The sequence below is a fragment of the Homo sapiens genome, chromosome 20 (assembly GCF_000001405.40).
Source record: "Homo sapiens chromosome 20, GRCh38.p14 Primary Assembly".
NCBI lineage: Eukaryota > Metazoa > Chordata > Mammalia > Primates > Hominidae > Homo > Homo sapiens.
The window spans coordinates 20,268,206-20,289,251 of NC_000020.11; the positions used below are offsets into that span (position 1 = coordinate 20,268,206).

At 40.2% G+C, this 21,046-nt stretch overlaps 1 protein-coding gene across 1 annotated transcript in view; it reads left to right on the top strand.

Annotated features, from left to right (window-relative positions):
- Window positions 1-21,046, top strand: part of CFAP61 (cilia and flagella associated protein 61) — a 308,167-nt gene that overhangs the window by 215,674 nt on the left and 71,447 nt on the right. Inside the window, exons 22-23 of the mRNA NM_015585.4 lie at window positions 8,961-9,253; window positions 20,404-20,731. Coding sequence (NP_056400.3) covers window positions 8,961-9,253; window positions 20,404-20,731 — 621 coding nt within the window. The remainder of the gene's footprint in view (window positions 1-8,960; window positions 9,254-20,403; window positions 20,732-21,046) is intronic.

A 21,046-nucleotide genomic window follows, 5' to 3' on the forward strand; every position in this document is an offset into this window, starting at 1 on the left:
AAGGACAGTGAAAAATAGTTTCATCGTGTCCCACTGGCTGTGGTTGGGTGACATGTCCCTCCGGGAACCACACCCTGAATCCTAACAAACACCAGTGCTGATGTTACTGAAGCCCAGGGATGTGAGGGGAGAATGGTGGATGGATTGTTCTAGAACAGTGGATATTGGGCATCAAGAACAAGAGATACTCCCAGGAGGAAGTCGGCTCTCCTTTGAACTTCTACCCATTGCAGACGCACACAGATACCACCCCAGAGAGTAGCTCCTTCCCACAGTCACTGTTGTATTTCACATCTTCTGCTTCCAAAGGAGAACACAGTGGTTCTGTGATGGAATTAGTCCATCCAGAGGACATGGTTTTCCGGGCTCTAGAGTTGGATGGATTTATAGAAGTAAATTACCCTAAACTATTAGAACTGCTCTAGTGCCATGGAGAAGAGCTGACATCACAGGCTCAAATGCTGCTTTCAACTGCAAACAAAACCTGGAGTGTTCTGCTGGGGGGTTTCTGATAGAACCCAGCAACCCGATACATTATAACAATTTATGGCACTAATTGAAACTAATTGAAATTCATCTGCTATTACCTCTGTACTTTCCATGAAAATGAAAAGTAGGATGAAAGTAAAGTAAAAAAAATAAACTACCTTAATGGCTCAAAATGGATCAATTATTTTCATCTTTAGCTAAATACAGTTTACTGCCTTATTAAAAGCATGTTTGTAGGAAAAGTATAACATTAAAATTCCACTGCATGCATCATCGAACAGAGGCTTTGTTATGTTATATCTAATATATTCTTCCCTTTTTATTCAGCAGAGCAGAACGGGACAGGTCACGTTTTGGGCATAGAAATCTTATGCTTTGGCTTCTAAAAAGTAAAAAGCGCATTGTCTGGTTCTATTCGTGGGCTATATATATATATATATATATATATATATACACACACACACACACACATACATATATGTATATACACACACATATATACATATATGTATATATACACATATATACATATATGTATATATATACACGTATATGTGCATATATACATATATATTTCATTAAAATACAAAAGAATAGGTAAATATGCATAGACATAATTTAAAATATATAAACTATAAAATGTAACATACACATATATGTATATGTGTACATATATATATATACACACACATATATAGACAGAATCTTGCTCTGCCATCCAGGCTGGAGTGCAGTGGTGCAATCTAGGCTCACTGCAACCTCTGCCTCTCAGGCTCAAGTGATTCTCCTGCCTCAGCCTCCTGAGAAGCTCAGATTACAGGCATGCACCACCATACCCGGCTAATTTTTGTATTTTTAGTAGAGATGGGGTTTCACCATGTTGGCCAGGCTGGACTCAAACTCCTAACCTCAAGTGATCCTCCCGCCTTCGCCTCCCGAAGTGCTGGGATTACAGGCATGAGCCACCACTCCTGGCCTGTTTTTTAATGAGTGTTTATTTCACAATTTATTAATAATCTGTGATTGCTACTTAAAAATATTTCATTATCTAGTTATTTGCTGAAGATATTTACCCATATAAAATGCCAGTTGGAGTATATTTTAGTAACGTGTTACATATCCATCTGCAAGTGTACTGCAGTGCTATGAGACCTGATTTTGAAATAGACTCACAGGGTTTGAGTCCTGGTGACCCACCTGCTTGCCATGTGACCTGACCTTGAGCTCAAGATTTAACCTCTCTGTACCTTATTTTCTGGATAAAATGATAAACCCTGTCTCACAGGCCTGTTGTGAGGATGAATGAGTCATATGTAACCACTGTATGTCTGTTTTGAAGCAGAAAAAGGAAACATAATTATTCATTAAAATACAAAAGAATAGGTAAATATGCATAGACATAATTTAAAATATATAAACTATAAAATGTAACATATAATTCTTGTTTCTCTGGCCTTAAAAATATAATAACTATGAAGAAAACTTCATGTTAATATTGTGTGCATAAATCCTGAATTTATTTCTTATACTCTTGAGATCTAACTTCATGGCCAGACCACCAGACCAGCAAATCTTTCCCTCCAAGTCCCGATTCTCTCCATGGAGAAGCTTCATCTTTATAGCATTGAGCGTGACCATGAAATGACAGCAGAGCACAATTTCCAGATGTTTTAAAGTCAAGCACTCAGTTCAAAAGAATAAAATGACTTTTTAGCATCTACTAAAAATAATTTCTTTAAAAGTTGTCCCATTACTTTTAGGGTACATCTATGACTAAAAGAATTAGCACTTTATTTTACTTCTTGAACTTAATAGGGAAATCAACTTAGTTTTCCTTTCCTGCGAAGTCATTTTACCTTTAATTACTTGTTTTCTAACTCCTGAAACTCTTACATACTGCCTTTAGGAACCAGGATGATGAAACTGGCATTTTTCCCCCTTGATTAACATAAATTGAAGAACTTCTTGCATCTTGGTGCATTATTCTTTTTTTTTTTTTTTTTAAGACAGAGCCTGTCTCTGTCACCCCCCAGTGGCACAATTGTGGCTCATGCAACCTCTGTGCCCTGGGTTCAAATGATCCTCCTACCTCAGCCTCCCGAGTAGCTGGGACTACAGGCATGATCCACTATGCCCAACTAATTTTTGTGTGTTTTTAGTAGAGATGGGGTTTCACCATTTTGGTCAGGCTGGTTTCAAACTCCTGACCTCAAGTGATCTGCCAGCCTCAACCTTTCGAATTGCTGGGATTAGAGGCGTGAGCCACCGCACCCAGCCCCAGGTTGAAACTTTAAAATGTGATCGCTTTATGTGCATGGTCACTGTCAAAGTTGCTGATTTGTTCATTTACACCTTGAGAGGCCAAGGTGAGAGGATCACTTGAAGCCAGGATTTTGGAACCAGCCTGGTCAACATAGCAAGACCCCATCTCTACAAAAGTTTTTTTTAAAAACTAGCCAGGCATAGTGGCACGTGGCTGTAGTCCCAACTACTCAAGAGGCTGAGGCAGGAGGATTGCTGGAGCCCAGGAGTTTGAGACTGCAGTGAGCTATGGTTGTGCACTACACTCCAGCCTGAGTGACAGCAAGACCCCATCTTAAAACAAAACAAAAACAAAAACAAAAAGGTCATCTCTACATTTCTACCAACATTTTAATTGGCAAGTGCTAGTTCCCTTCAGTCTGAAGTGGGGAATTGACAGCTCACTCAGATATTGACTGCATCATCACTTTCCGTCTCTCTCTCCCCTGTTGGGCTGTTGACGCTGACACCCTCCTTCCTCTAGGAAGCACCCTTGCACATTCTGTTTCAAAGGCTGCCACTGGTTAGCAGTGCGAGAATGACTTCGGGCTCCTTCTTGCTTGCCAGCTTTAATTTTCGGAGCTTCCACACAGTCGCCTTTTTACGGGTGCTCTGCCTGGACCCTACTGCCCGTCTCAGATCTGCAATCAGAGTAATGCACGATTTATTCGCTAAAAGGAGCAACAAAGATTGGTCTTCCATGAAAACTGCCATGGTTATATTCCCTTATCCTTTATGGGGAATCCACCCAGAGTGTTCTTATCATTTGTTATTTGCCATTTGAAAGTGGGGCAGCCCATCCTTTACCTCTGTCACCTGTTAAATCGAGAGCAAAAGCTGGTCATTTCTCATCTGTTAGGTAAGCTGATCTGGGAAGGAAACAGTGACTAAATCTTTTAGCATAAAACTGATATCCAGGGGAAATCATCAGTTTTTCCACTCTACTTCTTTTATATGTGTCTAGAAACTTCAAAAACAGTGTATGTGATATTCCGGTAATGTGAAGGAAGGTTCCATGAGTTATAAAGTACACAATGGTAGGTATACATGAATTAAATTCATCTTTAATATGGACATACTATATATCCAGAAAATTAAAATTTAAATAAATAAATTCATATTTAATTAACTGAAGTTTTCCGGCTTATTAAAAGCATGCTGTAGGCCAGTGTGGTGGCTCATGCCTATAATCTTAGCACTTTGGGAGGCCAAGATAGGCAGATCACTTGAGGCCCAGAGTTCACTACCAGCCTGGCCAACATGGTGAAACCCCATCTCTATTAAAAATATAAAAATTAGCCGTGTGTGGTGGTGGGTGCCTGTAGTTCCAGCTACTCAGGAGGCTGAAGCATGCCAGGAGGCAGAAGTTGCAGTGAGCCGAGATGGTGCCACTGCACTCCAGCCTGGGCTACAGAGTGAGACTCTGTCTTGAAATAAATAAATTAATTAATTATAAAATAAAAGCATGCTATCAAAGAACATATGTCATAGGCCCCCCATAACTGGGGCTATCTTACCTGTCTATACAGCTATCACGCTGTTCTGTGCCAGTGGAGGCCCAGACACCCCCTGCACATACTGGGACACATAACTGTCAGCCCCAACACCTCCCTCAGGCACAGCCAACAGAGTGTCCCCCGGCTCCGGTCATTATTCACTTGCCCTCGGTTTGTCCCGCCCAGCAGCTGCTTTCTCTCACATACTTTTAAACACTTTCTTCCTTCCAGCTCTTACCCAGGGATTCAGGAAGATCTGTTTCTCTGAGGCACCTACTGTTTGACTGTGTCTCTGCCCCCCTTTCTTTCTCTCTCCATTTCCTTCCTTCCCCATATCTCCTTCTTGATTCAGCCCAAAATTGACTTAACCGTTGCAAAATGAGTTACCCAACTGCTACTTCCATATAAAATATAAGAAAGCCTGGTCATCCAACGTCACGTTTACATCTAAAAGAAAACCAGGGGTGGAAATCTCTCAAACTTCTACAAATTCCCAGAAGTTATATCAGCCTCCTGAGTAACTAGGACTAGAGGTGCGTGCCATGCTTAATTTTTTTTTTTTTTTTTTTTGTAGAGACAGGGCTATGATGTGTTTCCCAGGCTGGCCTCGAACTCCTGGCCTCAAGCAGTCCTCCTGTCTTGGCCTCCCAAAGTGCTTGGATTACAGGCATGAGCCACTACATTCAGCCCTGTCTTTCTTTAAATAGCACATTAAAGACGTAATTTCTTGTTTCCCTGAGCTTAAATGCCACCAATATGACAGGAGTATTATTTTATATCTATCATTTGTTGTAGGCACACACAATTTTGGTTACATTAGGGACTATGTGGGATTTTATGAGCCTACACTGGAAACCTAATAACCAGATCTAACATCGTTAAGGGGAACATATTTCTATCTTACATATCTCAGGTGTATAGCCCATTCTGTGACTGGATAGTTCTTATAGTGCCAACTTAGTAGTGAATACCAAGCAGAAATATGTGCTGGGAAAATCTGGCTACAGTGAGTCATTTTGTGCTAAATATTTACAGGATCCAAAAGTATGATCCAGCTAGCAGGAAGAAAGTCTTAGGATCAGCAATCTAATAAATATCTGACATATATCCATGTATCTGGTCAGGAAATAGTACTGTGGTGATAATTACAGTCACATCTAGTGTAGGCCACAGGCACTGTGCTAGGCTCCAGGGATAACATGATGGGTAGGGCAAACATGGACCTTACAGTCCAAACAAGTCATCTCGCTGCGAAGCCTGGCTGTAGCCTGGCTGCGTAGGCCATGGTGAGTGCTGGGAAGGAAAGGTGGAGACCGCCCACAGGCCTGCTGGGGCCTCACCTGCCTGGAGGCTGGACAGTCTGTGGGGCCCAGATATAGCTGTGGGCAGCCTGAGGCCTTGACATGGGCTCTTCAGAAGCACTGGTTCCAGCTCATCCATATTAGTAAATTACTCTGATAAATGTAAGTAATCATATTTTTAAACCAGTTTGATTTGTCCCAAAATGAATAATCAAAGTTTTTGTCTACTAGGCTTTTTTCTGGAGGGGGCCCCAAAATATAAGACTTTGGTTATTCTAAGAGTTAGCACCATGCTTATATTTTGCTGTATGACAACATTATATATGGGCATTTGAGTGAAACCCATGTTATTGTTCACAGTTCTAAATGCTATTGTTATCAATAATGATAACAATATGAGGGATTATGTATAAAAGTACCTAACTTTGTGCCTGGCATAGAGGAGTACAGAGATAAACATGAACTGGATCTAAAAATCCTTTACAAAGTAAATGTGAGCAGTGTTGCAGAAAGAACTCACAACTGCACAAAGATTATGAAAAGAATAACCTCCCACAGAATGGAGACATTTAAAGGCAAGAAATTGGGCCAGATGCAGAGGCTCACGTCTATAATCCCAGCACTTTGGGAAGCCAAGGTGGGGAGATCACTTGAGGTCAAGAGTTCAAGACCAGCTTGGTGAACATGTCAAAACTTCGTCTCTACTAAAAATACAAAAATTAGCCTGGCATAGTGGTGCGGGCCTGTAATTCCAGCTACTCAGGAGGCTGAGGTGGGAGAATGGCTTGAACCTGAAAGGTGGAGGTTTCACTGAGCTGAGATCGCGCCACTGCACTCCAGCCTGGGCAACAGGCGAGACTCTGTCTCGAAAAATAAAAATGAAAATAAAAAAAAGGCAAGAGGTGGACCTGGTCAAGAATAGTAGGCCATCTTACATATTAATAACTAGTTTTTATCATGTTTTATTCTATTTGTGGAAGGATGTGATTTGACCTGTAACATGTTTTATTTATTTAATATAACATTATATTATCACGGCATTCTACTATATTTTATGGGAAATGAAAGAACTATAACTAGTCTTAGAAAGCCTGTTTAAATGAAAAGTTTGAGATGAAATCACTCAGGCAGTCATCTCCCATATGACCATGCTGGTTTGCACTGCTGGTCAGTAAATATTCATCCTTCTCTCCCTCCTGTGTGGGCAGAGTGGACGTCCTCACTCCCGTGCTCATGGGCATGACCATGACACTTGCTTTGGTCAATGGGATGTTAGTGGATATGATGTGGGCAGAGGCTTGACATGTGCCTGGGCCCTTGTGCTTGCCTTTCTGTGCACCTGCATTTCCCCATAGATAGCAAATGCCTCAGGTAGCTGTCAATCCAAGCAGGATGAAACACACATGGTGCAAACAAACCCAGCCACAACCTAGAGCCAGATCAGCTGACATCAGTCCACCCACAGGTGTGTAGACCACCCACAACGTGCTTCTTGTTTGACATTGAGTTTTGACGTGGTTTGCTATGCAGCATTATTATGATGATAACTGACTCTTAAGATAACCGAAGTCTCATATTTTTGTTAAACATAAAGGTAGCCAAAACTGTTTAGAAGTCACATTATCTAGAAATAAACCTGTAATTTTGAAATCAGATATTTTACAAAATGTATTACCTTTGGAATTGAAAAGTATCGTCCTCTCCAGCTGCCTGCAGTCCGTGGACCACCCTTGCTGGATCAGACACCTCTCCAAACCCCAGCAGCACCACAGGCCCAGTTTTCCATGAGCCTGTGAAGAATAAGCCCAGCTCACAGTAGAGCTGCTAACAGCCATCATGAAAGAGACCAGAAAATACAAAATCCTTAGCTGTGTGAGACCTAAACACACTTAAATTCGTTCAACTGAAAATGAATATTGTTTTGGCTTGCCTATTTCAAAAGGACAGAAGACCTAAAACCTTTTATAGTTTTCGGTTCAAGTTTTGCCTTTCCTTGCAGGCTGATTCTTTGTTGTGCCAGACAGCCAAGATTCATGTTTCGTAGCAGCTGGGAGCCTCAATAATTTAAGCAAAATGTTGCCTCTTTCAGCCAAGGAAAATGCAGCTCACCAAGGAATGTTGCATTGTAGCATCTGAACAGAGTGGGGGTCATAGCCATAAAACTCTCCTAGCGTCCTAGCGAGGGCAGGAATGGAGAGACCCCACTCCCTCACTTCAGTGCCTTCTTGGCTTTCCATAGATGAAGAGCAGGGAGTATGGGAGAATTTTCTAGATGCTGTTAGCTTCCAAGAAGCCATCTGAAAGTTACTGTAGTTTATTTTTCCTAAGCAAACAAGACAAGCCATCACACTTCCTTTCAACTTTGGATTGAAAACAATTTGGGCATGATTTCCTCAACCAAATCAAATTAATACACTTGCCATTTATTTTGGCTTGTAAAATTCCTTTTCATATTATTTCATGAACAGGAGAAAAACAGAGAGACATTCAATGAAGTGTACATTTTGTGGTAAAATTGGTATATCTTACCTGGAAAATGAGTCTACAGCAGTTTATTTGTGAAAATGTGAAAATGCCAATTCAATGTCAAAAATAGCATATACTACATTTCATTAATTTAATAGTGTCATTGACCTTAAAACTGCTAAAATAGTAGAATAGCATATGTAATTGCTTCTGTAGTCTTTTTGAGAAATGTAAATAGTATAGACTATTTATCATCAAAATGCTCTTACACAAGGGAAATCTGTCAAGATTATTTTGTGATTTTATTTTTGCTAACAAAAATACTGTCTTTCAGTCCCTCTAGCTAGGTCTTGACACATTATATTCTAAAAATCAGGGTTGAATCTTTGTAAAATTATCTGGTGAAAAGCAGAATGTTCTGGCCTTTAATTCTCAAAAAAGGGAAAACTTCCTTGAAATCAATCCAGTTCAACATTTAAATATTAAAATATCAGTAACATCATGAGCATGAATATTTTTTACCATTGCCTTTTTGTCTGTAAGGAAGAACTAGTATACATTGCCAACATTAGTAATTTGGTTTCCTTAATAAGTATAGCAAATTGGGAACAAAAGCAAGATAAAAGGTTTTTTTCTAGACAGTTTCTTTCAGCCTAATTTCAACTTCAAATTAGAGGAACATAAATGAATGTCCTACTTCTGCATTAAAAGTACTTGACTACTTTGTGGGATGTTTTGTGCTGATTCTTTACTAAATGATCTTGGTCGCCGTTGCTAGGTAACACCGCTGGCTTCCTGCAGCTGAAAAATGAGAGGGTTATACGGAGCAATTCGGCATTATTAGCATTTGACTAAGGTTTTTTGGTTTTCTGAACTGTATATCTTAGCGTTTTCCCTTCTTTCCTAGGGAATATCATTGTCTATGGGAATACAATTGATACTTACACCACCGTGGAGACGCTCTTAAACCTTGGCGTGAGCGGCAGCCGCATCCACCTCGTGCAGCCCCCGCCCGCCTCCACCATCACCTGCATCAACAACTACTCGGTGGAGAGCGCCGTGGCGGACGCGCTAGGAGCCGCCGGAGTCACTATGTACCGGGATGCGATCCTGGCCCAGTGGAATGACGGCCTGCACCCAGACCCCATCTACAGCGCCTCCTTCACCACACCCACCAAGCCTTTCAGACTCCAGTGCTCTGTAAGTGGGTCCCTGCAAACCTCACTCACCAGCCAGGGACAGAGGACATCTCCAAGGGATTTGGGGGTCTGGAAGATTGCGGGCAGTGAATTTGTAGTACCAGATGTTGGATTTTGTTTTCTGTGTGTTCAGATTACCTCTTGCTGGGTAACAACCCACCCCAGACTCAGTGGCATAAAGCAACAACAACCGTTTATTATTCTTATCTCTCCTGGTTTTTTATTATTATTTTATTATCCTTATCTCTTCTGGCTTTGGCCAGACTCAGCTGGGAAGTTCTCACTTGAGGTCGCTCATGCGGCTGAAGTCAGCAGTGGGTGGGCTGGAATTGTCTCAAAAGCATAGTCACTCACATGTCTGGCTGTTGATCCTGAATCAACTTTAGTTGAGATTTTCACCAGAACACTTAGAAGTGGCCCCTTCATGGGACTGGCTTCCTCACAACATGGTGGTTTGGGTCTGAGGGTAGAGTGGAGAGAGAGGCAGTGTCAGCTGTGTCACCCTGGATGACCTGGCCTCTGAAATCAAGCAGCATTCCTCCCACCACATTCTATTTGCTAGAGGCAAGTTGCCAGGACCAGCCCATATTCAAGGAGTGGGAAATTAAACCCTGCCTGTTCATGGAGGTCAAAGATTTGAATGGAGAGCGCTTCTCTTTACGGAGAGCTTGCCATGCCCCAGGACATTCTGTCAACTCATCAGGACAGCTCTGTAAAGGGAAGTATCCCCAGTTTACAGAGAACGCTGTGGCTCTAAGTCAGTGGCACTGCTGGTTCCCTGCCCAGCCCAAGGTCTATGCTGCCATTAACCTCTTAAGATTCTGGCAACAGCAGTGGTGAGTCTTTCCCCATGACACACAACTTCTGGCAATGTGTATAGAGAGAGCACTTTCCTTTCCAGGTGGGTGACACCCCACCTTCCAGCCTGCACCCTCAGAGTTTACAGCTTAGGAGGTTAGTAGAAGCCCTCAGGGAGGGAAGGAGGGAAGGGGCCGGTCCATCTCACTGAGAAGCAGGGGAACCTTGCTCGAAAGGGAAGCTGAGGTCGGTATGAGGATAATGGTTGTGTAGGTCAAGGGTGTGTGTTAACGGTTGTGATAAAGAATGCCTGCTAACATCCAGTGGGCAAGCCATTTAGGGGCAGGCATTCACAGCAGGCCCTTACCTAGGAGTGGGGGGTGATCAGCCTAAGTCAGGGCTTCTCACTCAGGTGCTGCTAAGGATTGAGAATGGTGGCTCTCACCCCCACCCCAACCCAGAACTCAAAGGACAGGGGCTCAAAGCAGACCACTGAAAAAGACTAAAAAGGAAGATTTTTTTTAGAATCTCTCATTTTATCCTGAGATCCATGGAAATTGTGTATTCTACTCTGTAGTTCATTCATTTATTCATTCATTCCATAAATATTTATTGAACACCTGCTAGGTCCCAGGCTCTGTCCTCGATGTTAGGGATGTAACAGTGAAAAAGACAGGACAAGTCCACTTTATTTTAAAAAGTGATACTGTCTATACATGTATGTCATGACACCTATTTAAGACAGGAAATATCAAAATATTTTTGCACAAATTTTCCCTCAAAAATGGCAAACCTGGAAGATTGCCACGTTTATTCTGGAGCACCTCTAGAGGTGAGTGTGTGCCTTGTTCAGGAAGCAGAGGCCTGAGAAAACCTCCCCAAACATCCCATTGGATAGCAGCTCTTCTGACCTTCACTTTCCTATTCAGATTAGAATCAAACTCCTGACAAAAACATCTGGCAAATTAAATTGACCCTTGAACACATGAGGAGTAAGGGCAGCAACCCTCCTCACAAAGTTGAAAACCCACATAGAGCTTTTGACTCTCCAAAAACTTAGCTACTAAAAGCCTACTGTTGACCAGAAGCCTAACTGGTCACATAAACAGTTGATTATATGAAAATGTATTTTGTATTTTATATGTATTGTATACTCTATCCTCACCATAAAGTAAACTAGAGAAAAGAAAATGTTATTAAGACAATCATAAGGAAGAGAAAATATATTTATTCTTCATTAGGTGGAAGTGGATCATCATAAAGATCTTCGTCCTCATTGTCTTCACGTTGAGTAGGCTGAGGAAGAGAAGGAAGAGGAGGGGTGGGTCTTGCTGTCTCAGGGATGGCAGAGGCAGAAAAAAAATCTATGCATAAGTGACACACAGTTCAAATCCATGTTGCCCAAGGGTCAGCTGTAACCTCAACTGTCTTGATCCAAGGCACCTTCCTGCTACATTTTCATCCTAACACCGTCTGAGTCAGACATTGGCTTGTTTGCTGTTATATTCTTTCTCCTACCTTCCCTGGTCTGCTTGGTCTCACAAAGAATGGCCCCTGCAGATGACATTTCCCAGGTTCCATTATTCTCTGATTTTCATCTCTATTTGAACAATAGTTTGTACCTGTGGGAGATTAAACATGGGAAGCGGGGAGTCAGGGTAGGTATCTCTCATACTGTCTGCTTTGGGCAGCATCTGTCAGGGCATTAAGCACTTTTTGGTGGGGATGAATATGTCCATCCTCTTCACTATGGTCTTGGTGTCATGAGTTGAATTACATCCCCTAGAAAGATATGTTGATGTCCTGACCCCCAGTACCAGTGAACATGACCTTATTTGGAAATAAAGCCTTTGTCGATGTAAGCAAGTAAAGAGAAAGTCATCCTGGATCAAGGTTGGCCCTAAATCCAATGGCTGGTGTCCTTAAATAGAGAGATTTGATGGCATACAGGGACACGCAATGAAGAAAACCTCACGACAGTGGAGGCAGAGGTTGGTGTGATGGCAGCTGCAAGTCATGGAATGGCAGGAATTGCTAGCAACCGTCAGGAAGTAGGAAGAGGCAGGGAAGCCTTCTTCCCTAGAGCCTCTGGAGGGAGCATGTTCCTGACAATACTTGGATTCTCCAGAACTGTGAGAGAATAAATTTCTCTTGTCTTGAGCTACCCAGTTTGTGGTACTTCATTACAGCAGCCCTAGGAAACGAAAGCAGATGATGTCACAGTGTATGTACCTACTAAAACTATGATGTTGATAACCAGAATCATACATTATATACTATTTTTCTATTTGGCTTCATTTACTCAGCATGGTGATTTTGAGATTCCATATAGTTCCATGTATCAATAGTTCATTCTTTTTTATGGCTAAGTAGTATTCCATTGTATGGATATATCTCATTTTGTTTATTTATTTGCCTGCTATGCACATTCTGGTACATGCCTTTGTGTGGATAATATTTTTATTTCTCTTAGCTATAAACCTAGAGATTGTCTAAGTCATATGGTAGGTGAATGTTGACCTTTTTAAGAAGTTGCCATGTTGCTCTCCAAAGTAGCTATACCATTTTACATTTCCATCAGCAATGTATGAGAGTTCCAGATACTCCACGTTCTTGTCAGCACTTGGTGTTGTCAAATTTTAGTCACTCTTGTGGGTGTGGCATGGTGTGTCATTGTGTTTTTTTTAATTTGTGCTTTCCTGACAATTAATTATGTTTGGTATCTTTTCGTTTTTTTAGTAGCCATTAGTATTTCTCCTTTTTGTGAAATGTTCAAGCTATTATAAATGTATTTAAAATTTTGAAATTTCCAGTTGATCACTGCAGGTTTACAAAATGCAATTTATTTTCTGTATAAACATTGTAACTTGAAAATGCTAAATTCTCTTATTAGCTTTTGTAGTTGTTTTTTAGGTCCATAAACATGTCATGCAAATAGAGGCAGTTTTACTACTTCTTTTCTGATATTTAGGTCTTTTATTTCAGTTACTTGCTTTATTCTACTCACTAGGACCTACAGTGCAATGTTTAATAAAAGTGGGGGAAATAGACATCCTTGCCTTGTTCCATATCCCAGAGAGAACTTTCAGGCTTTCACTGTTAAATATGAGATAATTTGGCTGTGGATTTTTCTTTGGTGCTTTTTATCAGACTGAAGAAGTAACCTTCCATTCCTAGTTTGTTTAGAGGTTTTTATCATGAACGGCTGTTGAATTTTGTTAAGTGAATTTTCCATATTTCTTAAAAAGAAATATGGAAATTTTCTTCTTAATTCTTTAATACAGTGAATTACGTTGATCGATTTTTGAAAATGTTCAGCCAGCCTTATATCTCTGGAATGAAACCTAATTGGTCATAATGCGTTATCTTTCTATATATTCCTAAATTTTATTTGCCAATATGTTTTAAGAATTTTTGAAACTATTTTGCAACTATATTCATGAGGGATGTTGATATAGAATTTTCTGTTTCAGTAATGTCCTTGTAAGGTTTTGGTGTTCGAGCTGTGTTGGCCTTATAAAAAAATTCGGGCAATGTTCCCTCCTTGTTTATTTTCTGAAAAAGTTTGTGCAAGATTGGTATTTTTTCTTTCTTGGACGTTTGACAGAATTAACCAGTGAAACAATCTGGGCATGGAGTTTATATTGTTGAAAGGCTTTTGATAACAAATTCATTTTTTTAACTAGATATAAGGCTACTCAAATTTTCTGCTTCTTCTATAAATTTTTGTAAGTTGTAATTTTTAAGAAATTTGTCCATTTCATTTACATTTGTCAAATTTGTTGGCATTAAGTTTTTCACATATTATTTTGTTATCTATTTGATGTCTAGGATCTGTAGTAATAACCCCTCATTTATTTCTGATATTGGTGAATTGTGTTCAGTCTCTCTGACCCTCTCTCTGTTTGCTGCCAGTCTCTCTGTCTCTGACTCTCTCTCTTTCTCTCTCTCTCCCAGTGTAGATAGGGGTTTGTCAATTTTATTGATCTTTTTCAATTAACCAGCTTTTGAGTTTGTTAATTTTCTCTATTATCTGTCAGTTTTCTCCTCTATTGATTTCTGCTCTTAATTATTTTCTTCCTTCTTCTTGCTTTGGATTTACTTTACCCTTCTTTTTTCTAGTTCCTTAAGGTAGAGCCTTAAGTCGTTGATTTATATAAGCATTTCAGCATAAGTTTTCCATTATGTTTGAGCTGCATCCCATAAACTCATATGTTAACTTTTAATTATCACTTAATTCAAAATATTTTCTAATCTCCCTGTGATTTTTTATTCAACCTTGGATTATTTAGAACTGGATTCTCTAATATTCAAATATTTAAGGTTTTCCTAAATATTATATTTTTAATTGATTTCTAGTGTAATGCTGTTGTGATCAGAGAACAGTGTTTTAAGATTTAGAGCCAGGGACGGTAACTCACACCTGTAATCCCAGCACATTGGGAGACCTAAGTGGGCAGATCACTTGAGGTCAGGAGTTCAAGACCAACCTGCCCAACATGGTGAAACCCTGTCTCCACTAAACATATGAAAATTAGCCAGGCATGGTGGTACATGCCTGAAATCCCAGTTACTCGGGAGGCTGAAGCAGGAGAATCTCTTGAACCTAGGAGGTGGAGGTTGCAGTGAGCCCAGATGGCGCCATTGCACTCTAGCCTGGGCGACAGAGCAAGACCCTGTCTCAAAAAAAAAAAAAAAAAATTATTGAGACTTGTTTTATGTCCAAGCATATGGACTAACTTTGTGAACATATAAGGAATATGTATTACGTATTATGTGCTTGTTGAGTTTAATGTTAGTTCAATATGGTTGACGGTGATGTTCGACGCTCATAAGTCTTTACTGATATTTTTATCTCATTCTATTAATTGCTGAGAGAAGGGTATTAAAATCTGTTACTATTATTGTGGAAGTCTCTGTTTTTCCTTTTAATTCTTTTGATTTTTGCTTTATCTTTTTGGGGGCTCTGTTATTAAGCCCATGAGCATTTATAGTTGTTATATCTGCCTTGTGAATTGTGCCTTTTATCATTATGAAATGTTCCTCTTTATCTCTGATATTTAATAATATCCCTTATCTTAAGGTCCAGATTATCTGATACTAATATGACCATTCCATTCTTCTTATGCTTACTGTTTACATGATATATTTCCCATCCATTTACTTTCTACTTATCTGTGTCTTTGTGTCTAAAGTGTGTCTCTTGTAGGCATCATAAAGATTATATTAATGTTTTTAGTGCTGCATGACAAACTGCCACAAATTTAGCAGCTTAAAATAACATCCATTTACTAGTTTATAGCTCTAGTCAGAAATGCAGGCAAGGTGTGGCTGGCTTCTCTGCTTAGGGACTCTTAAGGCTAAAATCAAGGTGCCAATCAGGCTGCATTCTATCTGGAGCTTGAAGTCCTCTTCCAGACTTGTGTGATAGTAATAGAAGTTAATTCCTTGCAGCTGAGGACAGAGGTCCCCACTTCCTTGCTGGCCCAGCCAGGGGCTACTCTCAGCTCCTAGAAGCCATTCATATTTCTTGCCTCATGGCCCCTTCCATCTTAAATCCAGCAACAGAGAATCTTACTCATGTCAAATTCCCTTCATATTTCAAATCCTTCTTCAGAAAAAGCCTGGTCCCTTTTAAGGTTTACCTGATCAGGTCAGACCCACTGAGCATGATCTCCCTGTCTTAAAGTCACATGTGCCATATAACATCACCTTACACATTCACAGTTCATGCTTGTACTTAAGGAAGAGGTGGAATCTTGGGAACCACCTTAGACTTCTGCCTACCACATGCTTTTTATCCTTTCTATCTCTGCATTTTATTTAAAGTACTTAGACCATTAATATTTAATGTAATTACTGATATGGTTAGATTTAGGTCTACCATTTTATTATTTGTTTACTGTTTGTTCCCTCTTCTTTCTTTTCTGTTCCCCCTTGCCTGCTTTCTTTAGGATTATTAGAGTATTTTTTAGTAGTCTATTTCAATTGGCTCTTTATTTTATTTTATTTTATTTTATTTTATTTTATTTTATTTTATTTTATTTTGAGATGGAGTCTCGCTTTGTTGCCCAGGCTGGAGTACAGTGGCTCGATCTCAGCTCACTGCAAACTCCTCCTCCCAGGTTCACGCCATTCTCCTGCCTCAGCTTCCCGAGTAGCTGGGACTACAGGCGGCTGCCACCACACCCGGCTATTTTTTTGTATTTTTAGTAGAGACGGGGTTTCACCGTGTTATCCAGGATGGTCTCGATCTCCTGACTTCGTGATCCGCCTGCCTCAGCCTCCCAAAGTGTTGGGATTACAGGCATGAGCCACCGCGCCCGGCCTTCAATTGGCTTTTTAACTATATCTTATCTTTTAGTAATTGCTCTATGGATTATAATACACATCAGCAATCTTTCATGTTCAATAGAGTTAATATTGTACCATTTCACATAAAATGTAAAAACCTTGCAGCTATGCAGTTCCTTCTCCCCATATTCTGGATGTCTATTTTGTTAACAGCCATCCTATATCTTACATCTACAAACACTGCAAAATCAGTAAGGCAATATTGTAATCTTTGTTTTAAGGTCATATGTATTTTGAAGAATTAAAAAGAATAGTCTTTTATAGATACTCAGATATTTACTAATTTTCTTGTTCTATCTTCCTTTTTGAAAATCCAAGTCTTCCTTCAGCCTAAATGAGCTTCAGAGCATTTATTGTATTGTAGGTCTGCTAAAAAGTAATTCTTTAGTTTTGCTCCATCTGAAAATATATGTTGCTTTCATTCTTAACGCTTATTTTCACTGAATATAGAATTCTGGGCTTATAGGTTATTTTTTCCCAGCACTTTGAAGATGCTTTTCCACCATCTTCCAACATCCATGCATTTTTGTTTAAAAATCTACAATCATTTAAAACATTCCTCTATATGTCATTTTCCATTGGCTGCTTTCAAGGTTTGCTCTTTATCCTTGGTTTTTAGCAATTTGATGCTGTGGGTATTCTGTGTTTATTATGTCTCTAAGCATGGTTTGTTTTTTTTGTTTTTAATTTGTCTTGTTTGGCGTTCACTGAACTTCTCGAATCCATAAATTTATGATTTTCACTAAATTTTAACAAGTTATTGGCCATTCTTTCTTACCCTATTCTTCTCTCTTCTCTTCCTGGGATTCCAATTACATATCTGTTAAGAGTTTTTTATATTGTTCCCTGGGGCTCTAAGGCTCTGTTTTTTCAGTCTCTTTTTTCTCTTTCTCACTATTCTTCAAATTGGACAGTTTCTATTCATATAACTTCAAGTTCACTGACTCTTTCCTCTATCATCTCTATTTTTCTATTAGGGCATAAGATGACTGCAGCTCACCCTTTTATAAAAAACCTCTAAATTGAGGCCAGACACAGTGGCTCACGCCTATAAACCTAGCACTTTGGGAGGCCAAGGTAGGTGGATGGCTTGAGCTCAGGAATTCAAGACCAGCCTGGGCAACATGGTGAAGGCCATCTCTACAAAAAAATACCAAAAAATTAGCCGGGTATGGTGGCAAGCACCTGTAGTTCCAGCTACATGGGGGGGCTGAGGCAGAAGGATTCCTTGAACCCGGGAGGTCAAGGCTGCAGTAAGCTGAGATCTTGCCACTGCCCTCCAGCCTGGGTGACAAAGTGAGACCCTGTCTCAAAAAAAAAAAAAAACAAAAACAAACAAACAAAAAGACTCTAAATTGAATACCTGTATGTGGAAATGGAGAGAAAAGGTAATTGAAAAAGCAAACTTAAAAAAAAAAAAAACACCTCTAAAATAAGGGAAATTATCCCCATCCTGGTCATTTCTCCAAGTTTTTACTGTAATACACAAGCTACCCAAACTTTTAAATACTAATAAGAATCCTCTTATATCAGAGTTTATAGTTATTATCAGTGGGATTCATCTCAGGAGGTTATACCACCAAGGCAGAAGCAGAACTCTCTTGAAATTGATGTTTTGTCCCCACATCAAAGCCTCTCCACATCCTGCCTGATAGTGGCGCCTCCTGGGCTCTTAGCAGGTGGTCCAGCCTCCAGCCAGGTTAGGATGCAGTGACACTGGCTCTCAAGGCAGACTTTCCCATCTTGTTGGCATTCATCTTTCCAATTAGATCATGCGCTCCATGCTTATGTTTTTCACCAAGATGTTCTGGAGACCTTGCACAGTGCCTGGGACAAGAAGTGTTTGTCTGAATGCATGAATGAATGAAGTTTATCAGACTACTGACTCCCACCCTTCTCCCTAGCTAACCAAGGAGTTTTGCTCTCCTTAATCAGAATTATCAATATAAGTAGTCTTGAAATATGTACTCAGAACATCAGTGTGGCCAGCCATTACCTCTTCCTATTTGTACCCAATATGTAGTATTCCACTGGCGTTACAGAAGCACATAGGTTGTATTTGCAAGGTCTGTAACTTGTAACACATGTTCTTATTAACAATGTTGGATTTGCTTATTCAGTTTTCACTCCAGTCTACAAACTCCTATGAAACCCCAAATGTAGCCAAAATTGTGAATGCCTACACCAAAAGTGTATAAGTAAACATTACTGCAATACTGGTAACCTTTAAAACCCAGAAAAACAAGAACTAGTATATTTAATGTACTACTTAACAAAAAGTAGGCTTAATTAGAGAAAGAAAATTGGGTAGGTAGAAGAACTTCTGTGAGGATGCTGAAGGAGACTTCTAAACATTTTCAAGGGCTCAAGAGGTTGATAGCACTGTTTTTATTTATAATTTAAATTCAAATCAGATATCTTTCTATATATTTATCTGGGTAGGAAATCTATTTTTTATAGAGATGGGGAAAGAGAATGAGAAAGCAAAAAAGGAGTGTAGGGAGACAGAAAGATTCAGAATCAGAGAGAGACTCAGAGAAATATATTTTCCTGTGGCCACTGGGTAAGAGTTATAAGACAGAAAAAAAAAGAAAAAGACTTGAAAGAAAGAAGCATCCTGGGATGGGATTAGACAACTAGGTGAATAAAGACAGGACAAGGGCACAGAGTGTATCTCCCTGAGGGAGGACCAAGGACATCATAGAGATGATGGATCTGAGTGCTGCTGTCCAATAGAACCTTCTTCAAGATGGAAATAGGCTGTATCTGCACTGCCCAATATGGCAGCCAGTAGCCACCTATAGCTAACTGAGCACTTAAAATGGGCTATTGCAACTGAGGAACCGAATTTTTCATTGTATTTAATTTAAATTAATTTAGATGTAAATATTTATAGCCTTGTATGACTAGTGGCTACCACAGAATCAGAAAGCTCCCTGAACCATTCATGGGTGTGGGGCAGGAATACTGAAGGGGCTGGCTACCTCTTGCCCAAGGACAGCTGATGTCTATACAGAATGAAACAGTTGAGGGGGGTAAAGCAGGAATGTGATGGAAGTGGGGAGATGACCATCAGTATGGTTGGGACCCATGTCTTATGTTCATTTTTTAGCATGCTTTTAATAAAGTGGCAGACTATTTTAGGGAAAGATAAAATCAATTGAGCGTGTTTCAATTGGTCCAACAACTAAAGACAAAAACAACTAACTTGCACTGCTTCAGTGACTTTCAACATCAGTGTGGAAGACGATGTCCAGATGAGCATGAGAAAGCATTGAAATTTGAGCACAGAATGGAGAGGGCATACAAATAATTTCTAAGGAGCATGCAAAGGGGTTGGTGGCCCCTCTGCTTATGGCACCCTCACACAGTGCCTGGCATATGGTAGGTATGCCATCAGTATTTCTTGAATGACTCTGTGTCGTATGAGAGCAGGAAGCAACAAGGCAGGAACCCAGACCTAGTAGATACAGAGACTGATGAAGCATCCATCTTCTCTGGAGCATCATATAGGGACAAGCTTACTGAGTTTTAAAAGCTAGCAATGGGCAGTCTGAAAACTGAAGACTGGATGAGATCAACCCAAGAAGGAACCTGCAGAGACCCGAGTGTCAGACACAGGAAGGGGAAGAGGATGGAGGCTGCGCTAGAGCTGTTCAAAATGTAGGAGCATGAGGGGAAGGCAGGGTCTGTACAAATGTAAACCCTCTTCCGCCGAAAACCACTCACACTTTTGTGGGAGATATTTCATCACCTGGCATCCTTCTCTCCACTGGATGAGTGAATTGAGTGAATAAGAGTGACATTTGGGGATCTTAATGGGTTCTTCATGCCCAAGGCAATCTATCTCTCATACGCACACAAACAACATGATAGCAAACTTTTAGTATGTGTATTTTTGTGCCCCGAATAATAAAATGCCCTGGAGACTAGTCACACTTTTGGGAAGGTAAAATGAAGAGTGATAACTGAATATTGCTGTAATTGTTCACTTCGTAGATGTTCTTCAGCTTCTGTGAGAAGAATGTGGATTATGAAACGTTTAAAGCCCTCAATGATGCATGTCTTGTGTATGACAGTCGACTTGTGATTGATACCAACTTCCACACCAACGACATAGCCATCAGAGCTGCTGGCTCCCTCACCAAATTCTCCAATAGATACTACTCAAATGAGTGGACTCACAGCAACTTCAGTTCCAAAGAAATTGGCTTTCAGCTGGCAGCAGCTATGCTACATCTCTTTGATCCAACCCTTGAGCCTGTGACCGAGCCACCAGCTAATCTTGACCGGCTCATCCCCATGTACAAGGGAGCCAAGATTCAAGGTATACGAGTAGGCTTCCTTCTCCTTGATGAAGCCACAGATTAGGTATGGCTCAGCAGTCAGGCCAGTCCTCCAGGTTTCTCTTAGGCTTGGGGAAAAGGCTCCTCCGTACCTCAATGGGTTGCCACAGAGACAGAGAAAGGGTCTATAATTTCTGAAGCATTTATTACAAACCTGGAATTATTGTTATTACGGTTCTTTGCATTTGAGCATTTACTATGGACCACATCCTAAATGGGGTTCCCACTTTACAGATAAGAAAACAGACAAGGGAATGATTATTAACTTGTCTGGATGTCTCACAGCTGGAAAATGA